The sequence below is a fragment of the Homo sapiens genome, chromosome 15 (genome assembly GCF_000001405.40).
Source record: "Homo sapiens chromosome 15, GRCh38.p14 Primary Assembly".
Classification (NCBI taxonomy): domain Eukaryota; kingdom Metazoa; phylum Chordata; class Mammalia; order Primates; family Hominidae; genus Homo; species Homo sapiens.
The window spans coordinates 65,295,155-65,306,979 of NC_000015.10; the positions used below are offsets into that span (position 1 = coordinate 65,295,155).

The following is an 11,825-nucleotide window of genomic DNA, read 5'->3' on the forward strand; positions in this document are numbered from 1 at the left end:
ACCAGGCTGGGCAAGAAAGCCAGAACCCGTCTCTACGAAAAATACAAAAACTAGCCAGGTGTGGTGGCGCGTGCCTGTGGTCCCAGCTAGTTGAGAGGCTGAGGTGGGAGTATTGCTAGGAGGGAGTTTTCTAATAGTTGGGGCGGGGGGGGGGGGGGGGCATTTAAGTGCAAAGGAATGGTTAATACATATTCCAGATAGTGACTACCCATATAGCGAGTGAGGGGTATGATAGGGGAAATGGGCCAACGAAGGCTTCAAAGATGTTAACAATATACTTTTTGAACTGGATGGGAGACATCAGTGTTTTATTACTTTTGAATTATGTATGCACATAGACTATATACATTATTTACGAGATATACTTAAAAATCTTTAAGATGTTTCTATATTTTAGAGACAGGGCTTAAAAGTCCTGGGCAATTAGCTGGGCACAGTGTCGTGCGCCTGTAATCCCACCTAGTTGGGAGGCTGAGGCAGAAGAATCTCTTGAACCCGAGGTAGAGGTTGCAGTGAGCCGAGATCGCGCCACTGCACTCCAGCCTGGATGACAGAGTGAGACCCTGTCTCAAAAAAAAAAAAAAAAAAAGTCCTGGGCAGCAAGGCCTCCACTTCACCCCCTAAAGGTTGCCCCAAGAGCACCGTGTGACTGCTAAGGTATTTCCGGAGTCTAAAGACGATTATTCAGGTCTCATTTGCATACCCATAATACACTGCAAACAGTATTTTTTTCGGAAAAACATTTATATATTGCTTGACATTTTTAAGTATGAGAATTTTGCATGCAGAATTTTTTTGTATAAACTTTCTCAGGTAGTAACCCTTGGGATTAGTAGACACCATCAGTGTACTAGGAATTGCAGTTACCCGAAAATTGAGTTACAGAAGTAACTGGTATACTCTGGTTTCTCTTCAGATCGCATAAATCTTTCGCCTTTTACTAAAGATTTCCGTGGAGAGGAACAACTCTGAGTCTTAACCCAATTTTTTGAGGCCTTGCTTTGGCAAGGCTATATGTGGTAATCCAACAATAGAAATTATTTTTAAGTTTGTGTGTTCCTTTTTCTGTTCAATGGTGCTTTTGATATTGTTGTAAAGCAGTGACTAGCAGATTCTGTGTGGTAAAAGCACTGAACCCTGTTTAGTTCTTTTCTCCCTACCTTATTGGTAATTATTTCTGTGTATATATGTTCCAAAGAAATGCGGCTTGTATATTCATGCTTTTCAACTTTTTGTGATAGACAGTTGATACACAAGTAGTACCTCCTCCGGGATCTTCTTAGTCAAGACTGTTTGGTAGATGCATGTTTTTTGTTACTTGTAATGTACAGTATTCAGTTCATTTTCTTTTTGCAGCACTGTCCGGTTGAAACACAACGCGAGGATCGGGCGTGGTGGCTCACGCCTGTAATCCCAGCACTTTGGGAGGCCGAGGCAGGACAATCAAGACCAATCCTGGTCATCAAGGCAGGAGAATCAAGACCATCGAGGTCAGGAGATCAAGACCATCCTGGCTAACACAGTGAAACCCTGTCTCTACTAAAAATACAAAAAAAATTAGCCGGGCGTGGTGGCAGGCGCCTGTAGTCCCAGCTACTCGGGAGGCTGAGGCAGGAGAATGGTGTGAACCCGGGAGGGAGCTTACAGTGAGCCGAGATTGCACCACTGCACTCCAGCCTGGGCGACAGAGCAAGACACTGTCTCAAAAAAAAAAAAAAAAAACAATTCGAGGTATAGGTGGAATTTTTAATTTTAAAAGCCACATTAAACTACTTTTAAAGAATGGAAAAATCCAGTAATCCAAAATACTATCACTTGTATATGTAATAATTAGAGATGTTTTACATTATTTTTTGCCCATACTGTAGTCCTTGCTTTGGTAGATAGGGCTAATCTTATTTGAGATGGAGTTTTGCTTTTGTTGCCCAGGCTGGAGTGTAGTAGGGCGATCTCGGCTGACTGCAACTTCCGCCTCCCGGGTTCAAGCGATTCTCCTGCCTCAGCCTCCGGAGTAGCTGGAATTACAGGCGCCCACCACCATGCCCGGCAAACTTTTTGTATTTTTAGTAGAGATGGGGTTTCGCCATGTTGGCCAGGCTGGTCTCGAACTCCTGACCTCAGATGATCTACCCGCCTCGGCCTCCCAAAGTGCTGGGATTACAGCTGTGAGCCGCCGCTCCTGGCCTAATTTTTTTTTTTTTTGAGACAGTCTCGCTGAGTCGCCCAGGCTGGAGTGCAGTGGCGCGATCTCGGCTCACTGCAACCTCCGCCTCCCAGGTTCAAGCGATTCTCCTGCCTCAGCCTCCCGAGTAGCTGGGACTACAGGGGTGGTGCCACCACACCGGGCTAATTTTTATATTTTTAGTAGAGACGGGGTTTCACCATGTTGGCTAGCTAGGCTGGTCTTGAACTCCTGGCCCTCAAGTGATCCACCCGCCTCAGCCTCCCAAAGTGCTGGGATTACAGGCAGGAGCCACTGCACCCGGCCTAAATTTTTAGTGATGTAACAGTTTTTAGTGTTAATATTAAAATGCACAAGATACTCATCCTTTGCATCTCTTTAAACTTATATTGTAAGTTATCACAAGAAAGCTGTAGACATGATCTTTAAAATGTGCAAGAGGAGCATACATTTTCGAAATACTTTTCGGATTTAAGGGAAGAAGATATTTGACGCCACGACCATAACGGGTGGGCCTTGGAGTCAGAACTGAGCACTAAATGGAACTTGGGCCCTCTTGTGGCCATCGCGGAGGCTGCAGCAGAAATGAGCAAGGAGTTCGAAGAACGGAGGTAACGTAATAGGAGCTGAGACCTAGAGGCCCCCCACCAACTACCTTCCCTATAGGGAGAGTCTCTACAGAAAAATTTGTAATGATTGAATGTTGCTTCTACAAGAGAACCTGCTTCTTATAACTGGGCCCTGGCATCTGGTCACAACAAATAGAAACCAGAGAACAATCTACAAAAATGATTTAACGTTTATCTGTGTAGGCTGGCCACAAGTGGCTCACACCTGTAATACCAGCACTTTGGGAGGGCGAAGCGGGAAGATCAGTGGAGGCCAGGAGTTCAAGACCAGCCTGGCCAACACGGTGAAACCCCTTCTCTACTAAAAATACAAAAATTAGCCAGGTGTGGTGGGGCACGCCTGTCATCATCCCAGCTACTTGGGAGGCTGAGACAAGAGAATCACTTGAACCTGGGAGGCAGAGGCTGCAGTGAGCCGAGATTGTACCACTGCACTCCAGCCTGTGTGATAGTGAGCCTCCATCTAAACACACACACACACACACACACACACACACACACACACACAAAACCAAAAAAGAACCAGGAGAATCGCATGAACCCCGGAGGCGGAAGTTGTCGGCCCAGATCACGCCACTGCACTTCAGCAGTGACTGTCTCAAAAGAAAAAGAAAAAAAACAAAAGCCCCATCAATCTGTTAGTGTAGATTGATCAACACTATATGAGATTAAAGCAGAATCATTTGGTAATCCCATGAATGTACATTTATCAAATGTTTAAGTTTGACAAATTTAAACATCTATCCATTTTTATATATAGTATATACATAACTTAGTTTTATTTTACTTTTGATAGTCTCGCTCCGTTGCCCAGGCTGGAGTGCAGTGGTGCAATGTAGGTTTACTGCAACCTCGACCTCCCGGGCCCAAGTGATCCTCCCACCTCATCCTCCCAAGCGGTAGAGACTACAGACTCGCACCACCCCACCTGGCTAATTTTTGTGTTTTTTTGTAGGAACAGAGTTTCACCACGTTGGCCAGGCGCCAGCCTCGAACTCCTGGGCTCAAGCCTTCCCTACAGCCTCGGCCTCCCAAAGTGCTGGGATTACACGTATGAGCCACCAAGCCCAGCTATGTTTTTATCTTATTACAATAGAAATAGATGGGAATCTGCTTAAAGTAGAACCACCACCAAAAACATTCACACATAACAAAGTGTTGTGAACTTTCCCTTTAGAGTCTGGAAAAAGACAAAGATGACAGTATCACTGCTTCCATTCAATTTTTCACTAAGGGCCTTGCCAGGCAAGTGTAACAAGAAAAGTCAGGGGGAGGGAAAAGTATAAGGAGTGAAAAAAGAAAAAATTATTATTCTCAGTCCATATGATTATCTTCATAGAAGATCCAAAAGGATTTAGAAGTATACTGTTCAATATGGCAACCACTGGCCACATGTGGCTATTGAGCATTTGAAATGTGGCCAGTCTCAATTGAGATGTACTTAAGTATAAAATACACACTGGATTATTATATTTTTGAGACGAAAGTCTCTGCACCCAGGCTGGAGTGCAGTAGCACGATCTTCGCTCACTGCAACCTCTGCCTCCCGGGTTCAAGCGATTCTCCTGCTTCAGCCTCCAGAGTAGCTGGGACTACAGGCACATGCCACTGCGTCCCGCCAATTTTTGTATTTTTAGTAGAGAAAGGGTTTCACCATGTTGGCCAAGCTGGTCTTGAACTCCTGACCTCAGGTGATCCCCCCAACCTCAACCTCCCAAAGCGCTGGTATTACAACAGGCGTGACCCACCGCGCCCAGCCAGTTATTTCCTAAATTAAATTAGCACGAATTGTTGCTGGAAATTGAGGTGCAAGCCACATCATAAATAACGGATCAACGTGAGTCCAAGCTTCGGATTCACAAATTGTAGAAACTCCATGACCCTCTGTGGAGACTCACAGAGCTACAAACAAGTTAACTCTCCTTTCAGTTCTCTCAACAGTGAAAGCTATCCAGGACCCTTCCAGAGTGAAGCACAGTACAGGCCAACAAATAAATGTCTCCTAAAGCCCAGGAAAAGGGAAACACTCTCTCCCAAGGCTCAATACGGGGGGAGGTCAGTACTCAGAGAACCCACCCCTTAACCCCTTGCTAGGTCCTATGAGACGTAGCTATTATCATATGGTGAGAACTTTGCATCTCAATGGGTTTCTAACTTCCCCTTACATTGTGAACTACAGCAAGCATGCAAGACTATCAAAACAGACGTAACGCTGGCTGGCGCAGTGGCACACCTTTAATCCCAATGTGTCCAGAATTGGTGGGTTTTTGGTCTCACTAACTTCAAGAACGAAGCCGCAGACTCTCGTGGTGAATCTCAGGGTTCTTAAAGGCGGCGTATCCAGAGCTTGTTCCTTCTGACCTTCAGATGCATTCGGAGTTTCTTCCTTCTGGTGGGTTCGTGGTCTTGCTGGCTCAGGAATGAAACTACAGACCTTCACGGTGAGCATTACAACTCTTTAAAGCAGCACATCTGGAGTTGTTCCTTCTTCCCAGTTGGTTTCCGGCCTCACTGGCTTCAAGAGCGAAACTACACACTTTCAGGGTGAGTGTTACAGCTCATAGGCCAGACCCACGCACGGAGCAGTAGCAGCAGCAATAGCAAGTTACTGCAAACAGCAAAAGAAAAAAAGCCACCTCGGTATCAAAGAAAACACCCCACCTGCCTGCCGCAGCAGGAGCGGGCAGCCTGCTTTTATGCTCTTATCTGGCCCCACCCACATCCTGCTGATTGGTCCATTTTACAGAGAGCCGATTGGTCTGTTTTACAGAGAGCTGATTGGTCCGTTTTGACAGGGTGCTGATTGGTGTGTTTACAATCCCTGAGCTAGACACAAAAGTTTTCGTCCCCACTATATTAGCTAGATACAGAGTGTCCATTGGTGTATTTACAAACCCTGAGCTAGACACAGAGTGCTGATTGGTGCATTTACAAACCTTGAGCTAGATACAGAGTGCTGATTGGTGTATTTACAATCCCTTAGCTAGACATAAAGATTCTCCAAGTCCCCACCACACTCCGGAACCCAGCTGGCTTCGTCCAGTGGATCCTCCACTGGGGCCGCAGGTGGAGCTGCCTGCCAGTCCTGAGCCGTGTGCCGGCACTCCTCAGCCCTTGGGCGGTCCATGGGACTGGGCGCGGTGGAACAGGGGGCGGCACTTGTCCGTGGAGGCTCCGGCCGCGCAGAAGCCCATGGCGGGTGGGCAGGGTAGGCTCAGGCATTGCAGGCTGCAGGTCCCGAGCCCTGCCCTGCAGGGAGGCAGCTAAGGCCCGGCAAGAAATCCAGCACAGCGCCGGTGGGCCGGCACTGCTGGGGGACCTGGCGCATCCTCCGCAGCTGCTGGCCCAGGTGCTAAGCCCCTTACTGTCTGGGGTCGGCGGAGCCGGCCGGCCGGCCGCTCGGACTGCGGGCCGCCAAGGCCACGCCCACCCGGAACTCTAGCTGGCCCGCAAGCCCCGTGCGCAGCCCCGGTTCCTGCGGTGTCTCTCCCTCCACACCTCCCCGCAGGCTGAGGGAGCCGGCTCCGGCCTCGGCCATCCCAGGAAGGGGCTCCCACAGTGCAGCGGCGGGCTGAAGGGCTCCTCAAGCGCGGCCAGAGTGGGCGCTGAGGCCAAGGAGGCACCGAGAGCGAGCGAGGGCTACGAGGGCTGCCAGCGCGCTGTCACCTCTCACCAACACTTTCAGAGGCAGGGGTGGGAGAATCCCCTGAGCCCACGAATTCGAGACCAGCATGGGCAACATGTCTGTCAACATAGGGAGACCCCCATCTCTACAAAAAATTAAAAAATAAAATTAGCCCAATGTGGTGGCTTGCAGACTATAGTCCCAGATACTCGGGTGACTGAGGCAGGAGGTGCTTAATCCCAGCAGTTTGAGGCTGCAGTGAGCTATGATTGCAGCCCTGCACTCCAGCCTGGGTGACAGAACGTGTATCAAAACAAAAACAAATAGGAATGGCTACAGTAACCTTCCAGCAGTCAAGAAGATGACCTTCAGCCAGTACCCCTATAGCAACCTCTGCAAGGGCTTGGGGGCCTTGCTCTCAGAACAGGGCTTTCATCTTACGAACAAGTTCCTGACCTACTTCCCCGGGAGGAGCACTGAGGATGGCCGCAAGCGAGTATTTCTGCGAGATCGCCCCCCGCCCCCCCACTGACCCCTCGATGTTCCCCACGTGGCCCGTAAAGAGTGAGCAGCAGTGTGTGAAGTGGAGCACCAGCACGCCCCCACCCGACCCGCGCCCCGCCAGGGAGGCCTGGGCTACAGCCAGCTGGGTGACGACCACGTGAAGGAGACTGGCTTCCACTTCACCATCACGAACCAGGGCGCCTCGGTTGCGGGCCCGGCTTCAGCCTCAAGTTCTGGCAAGGTCAGAGCCGACTCCAAGTCATGGGGAGGATTCAGCCCGGACCACGGGGCAGCTGCTACGGCTGAGCTGCCTTGAGTCTCAGAACTCCTCATCTTTATTTTGTGTTCCACATTTTGTTTTTGTATTTTGGTTTGTAAATTTGTAGAATTAAATCACATTTTCCTTGTTGTGGGAAGGAAAAACCAAGCAAACAAACAAACAAAACCAGATGAATGTTTGCTCACCAATGAGCCACACCAAAAGAAGCCGGTACAAAAGGCCACATGTTGTATGCTTCCTTTTATATGAAATGTCTGGAATGGGCCTATCAGAGACAGAAAGTAGATTAGTAGTTGCCAGAGGCTGGGTGAATGAGCAGGTGGGAAGTAACTTCTAATGGGTACTGTTTCATTTTTCGGAGTGGCAAAAACATTCTAACTGGGCTCGGTGGCTCACCTGTAATCTCAGCACTTTGGGAGGCCAAGGCGGGGAGATCACTTGAGGTTAGGAGTTCAAGACCAGCCTGGCCAACATGGTGAATCCCTGTCTCTACTAAAAATACAAAAATTATCTGGGCATGGTGGCAGGCGCCTACAGTCCCAGCTACTTGGGAGGCTGAGGCGGGAGAATCTCTTGAACCTGGAAGACGGAGGTTGCAGTAAGCCGAGATTGCGCCACTGCACTCCAGCCTGGGGAGCAGAGCAAGACTCCGTCTCAAAAAAAAAGAAAAACAATAACAGACCCAAAACAAAAAATTCTAAAATTATATTGTGGGGATGATTCTACAACTGTGAATATACTAAAAACCATTGAATTGTATACTCTATTTATTTATTTTGAGACGGAGTCTCGCTCTGTCGCTCAGGCTGGAGTGCAGTCGCACAATCTCAGCTCACTGCAAGCTCCGCCTCCCGAGTTCACGCCATTCTCCTGCCTCAGCCTCCCAAGTAGCTGGGACTGCAGGCGCCCGCCACCACGCCCGGCTAATTGTTTTGTATTTTTAGTAGAGACGGGGTTTCACTGTGTTAGCCAGGATGGTCTCGATCTCCTGACCTGGTGATCCGCCCACCTCGGCCTCCCAAAGTGCTGGGATTACAGGAGTGAGCCACCGCGCCCGGCCGAATGGTATACTTTAAATGGATGGATCGCTTGGCTTTTAAATTATATCCAGTAAATCTATTTTTTAAATGTATTAGACAAATTTAAATTACATGCATGTCAAATATGATTGACTTGCTAGCAAAGGAGCAGCAAAGTGAAAAAAAGTGTTGGTTTAGAGAAGGTGTGAAAGTCGGGAAATGAAATGTTTACACCATCGGCTGTAAAAGTCTTAGTGCTGGCTGGGCGAGGTGGCTCAGGCCTGTAATCCCAATTCTTTGGGAGGCCGAGATGGGAGGATTGCTTGTGGCCCGTAATTCCAGACCAGCCTGCACTGCTTTCCTTTCACTGGTTGCCGAGTGAGCACATTCCTTAGAAAGGAATTCCCTGTAGGCTGGTGAGAGCCGACAGTGTAGCTCCGAGGGGGAGAGGGCAGCACTATGTTTTTAAATTATTATTTTTTGTAGAGATGGCAGGTCTGGAACTCTGGGCGTCAGGCGATCCTCCCGCCTAGAATAAGGAGACACGAGGTCTGAAACTGGAATAGCAAGATTGCATCCCCAACAGCAGATTCCGGTCGGGCAGGAAACCTGAAACAGAGCGCTCAAGTTCCAATTTTAAACAGGACATTGCCGGGAATTCTCAAATGGCATGCAAAATTCAGTATATCCCCGGAGTGCACGGTTAAAAATAACATCAGAACGCCCCTGCGCCCACCACACAGTTTAAGAAAACGGAAATTGTCAAACTTTTTAAACCCCTGTGCGCCCTTCCCCAAGTCACATCTCTCGCTCCTCACCGAAGGGAGGAACCACTATTCTGAATTCTGTGTTAATCATTGACTTGCCAATTTTTTCTCTTTCAATTTAATAGCAGTCTTTATTTAAAAGAAATCAAACTCAGACGTACAAATACACAAAACAGATAAAACCCGAGTCTCTGACCAGGAAAGCGTTATTTTCCAGCCAGCCAGTCTTCGGCTTCGCCCCCTAACGGTGACATAAGGCACTCTGTGAAATGCTCTGTTCCGGAATCAAAAGATTGATCCGATTATTTGCATACCCATAATGCACTGCTCACAGTACAAATTTAAAAAGGCAAAATCAAACATTTTTATTCTAAGCATATTCTGTGAAAGTTAGACTTTTGTTTAAACAATACTCTTAAAATTTTTTTCTAGGTATAGAACCTTGGCATTCACTAGTCACCATCACTATACTAGGAGTTTCTGTTACCCGAGAAACGAGTTATGAAATTAACAAGCATACTCTGGTTTCTCTTCAGATCGTATAAATCTTTCGCCTTTTACTAAAGATTTCCGTGGAGAGGAACAACTCTGAGTCTTAAGCTAATTTTTTGAGGCCTTGTTCCGACAAGGCTATATAAAGCTGTTAAAAAATCAGATTGACTTCATTTAGGGTGTTTCTTACAGATATCGTTTAAGTTTTCGGTTCTGCTTGTAAACGCTTCAATCGCTCATGCGTTTAAACTTTGTGTAAGTGCAAGCGTTCTTTTTCTAGTGAAGCTTCTTCCAACAAGTTAGAAGTATTTACTTCAGTGTCATTAATGTGAAAGATTCTTAAAAGTGTTCTGGCTGGGCGCGGTGGCTTATGCCGGTAATCCCACTGCATTGGGTAAACCAAGGTGAGCGGATCACTTGAGGTCAGGAGTTCGAGACCAGCCTGGGCCAACGTGGTGAAACCCACGTTGTACATTGTTTTCTTAGTCTTCTGAATCCTGTGTATATTTTGCATTTAGCGCATCTCAATTAGGACTAGCTGCATTTCAAGCGCTCAATCGGCACACATGGACAATGACTAATAATTGCCCTGTGCACCTCTGCTAGGTGTAAAACGTTTGAACAGAGCACAGTGTGTAGATCCGTTCTCCCTTCCTGTAGGTTTTGGGGTTTTGCCAGATTTTGGCCATTGGAACTCCTTGAACCTGTGCAAGGTTATATTTCCTTAAAGTGTGGAATGGAATGGCTGGCTGGGTCTTAGGGCAGGTAGGTACCTGCATAATAATTTTTTCCCAAATTATGTACTTATTTGCATTTTCACAAATGGCCTATTATATTCCCATTGCTTCTCACCCTTACTGGCCTTGAAATGCTCAGAAGTTGCCGGGCGTGATGGCTCACCCCTGTAATCCCAGCACTTTAGGAGGCCAAGGCAGGCGGATCACCTGAGGTCAGGAGTTCGAGACCAGCCTGCCCAAGATGGCAAAACCCCGTCTTTACTAAAAATATAAAAAATTAGCCGGGCGTGGTGGTGCCTATAATCCCAGCTACTCGGGAGGCTGAGGCAGAAGAATCGCTTGAACCTGGGAGGCAGAGGTTGCAATGAGCTGAGATCGTGCCACTGCACTCCAGCCCGGGCAACAAGAGTGAAGCTCCATCTCAAAAAAAAAAAAAAAAAGTAAAAAAAAAGAAATGCTCAGAAGTTAATCTTTGTCCATCTGGTAGTTATGAAATTGTAACTTTTAGTGGTTTTTAAATGTTACTTTAGTTTTTGAGACAGGGTCTGGCTTTATCACACAGGCTGGAGTGCAGCGGCATGATATCCTCTCACTGCAGCCTCAACTTCCTGATCCAAGTGATCCCACCTCAGTCTCCCAAGCAGCTGGGACTGCAGGCGTGCACCACCACACTGGCTGATTTTTAAAAATTTTTATTTTGTTTTTATGCTTTTTGTAGAGACAGGATTTCTCCATGTTGCCCAGGGTGAGCTGCTCTGGATCTTCTGAGCTCAAGTTATCCTCCCACCTCGACCTCCCAAAATGCTGGGATTGCAGGTGTGTGCCATTGTGCCTGGCTTTTTTTTTTTTTTTTTCCTTTACAAATGTCTAATCTTCCAGCATTATAGTAATTTTAATGTACATCTCCCTAATTACTAATGAGGTTGAACATCTTTTCAAAGATTTTTTGGCCATTCATAGTTTCTCCTGTAAAATGCCTGTTTGTGCCTTTTGCCCATTTTTTTCTTAGATGGCGAATCTTTTTCTTAGTGGGTATAGTAGTTTTTTGCACAGCTTCTAGACTTCAGAGACTTTAAATAGTAATTCTTTGTTGGTTATATGGTGCAATTACCTTCTCCCAGTTTACAGCTTCTCTTTTTGCTCTTATAGAGTCTCTTGGTGACTGGTTTTAATGTCAGATTGATTTGTTTTTTTTCTTCATTCTCATTTGTACTTTTGTGTGTTTTGTTTAATAAACAACTCACCACCTCAAATTATTAAATAAATTCTGTATCTTTTTAAGTGATGTCTTTCATATTAAGTCCTTGATTCCTCTGGAATTGAATTTTTATGTATAGTGTGAAGTGTGAATCTGGTGTTATTTTTCCCCTGGAAATGATTGGCAATTGTCCAGCACTGTGTATTGACTTGGTACCTCCTTTCCCTAGGGATATGCAGTGACATGTGTCCATGGGTCTGTTTGTCTAAACTTGAGCCAATATTGCACATCCTAATTACTATGAGTTTATAATAAGACTTAAAATCTGGTGGGTGTCATCTCTCTACTTTGTTTTCTTTTTAATAGTAACTTGGCTAAACTTTCTTCTTCCA

The 11,825-nt window shown here is 46.6% G+C and overlaps 2 non-coding genes across 2 annotated transcripts, besides 3 other annotated features; both read left to right on the forward strand.

Annotated features, from left to right (window-relative positions):
* The first annotated feature begins 896 nt into the window (after positions 1-896).
* Positions 897-1,013, forward strand: RNU5A-1 (RNA, U5A small nuclear 1). Its single transcript, NR_002756.2, has one exon. It is a non-coding gene; the product is annotated as an RNA, U5A small nuclear 1 (small nuclear RNA).
* Positions 1,024-1,935: an enhancer, noted in NCBI's record as "NANOG-H3K27ac hESC enhancer chr15:65588516-65589427 (GRCh37/hg19 assembly coordinates)". NCBI's record gives its function as "activates a minimal SCP1, AML or CMV promoter by ChIP-STARR-seq in naive and primed H9 embryonic stem cells {active_cell/tissue: H9 hESC(naive and primed)}" and the evidence as "EXISTENCE:reporter gene assay evidence [ECO:0000049][PMID:30033119]".
* Positions 6,037-6,552: an enhancer, noted in NCBI's record as "H3K4me1 hESC enhancer chr15:65593529-65594044 (GRCh37/hg19 assembly coordinates)". NCBI's record gives its function as "activates a minimal SCP1, AML or CMV promoter by ChIP-STARR-seq in primed H9 embryonic stem cells {active_cell/tissue: H9 hESC(primed)}" and the evidence as "EXISTENCE:reporter gene assay evidence [ECO:0000049][PMID:30033119]".
* Positions 9,481-9,640: a silencer, noted in NCBI's record as "silent region_6555". NCBI's record gives its function as "represses an Ori minimal core promoter by ATAC-STARR-seq in GM12878 lymphoblastoid cells {active_cell/tissue: GM12878}" and the evidence as "EXISTENCE:reporter gene assay evidence [ECO:0000049][PMID:35858748]".
* On the forward strand, positions 9,523-9,639 carry RNU5B-1 (RNA, U5B small nuclear 1). The gene has a single exon (NR_002757.3). It is a non-coding gene; the product is annotated as an RNA, U5B small nuclear 1 (small nuclear RNA).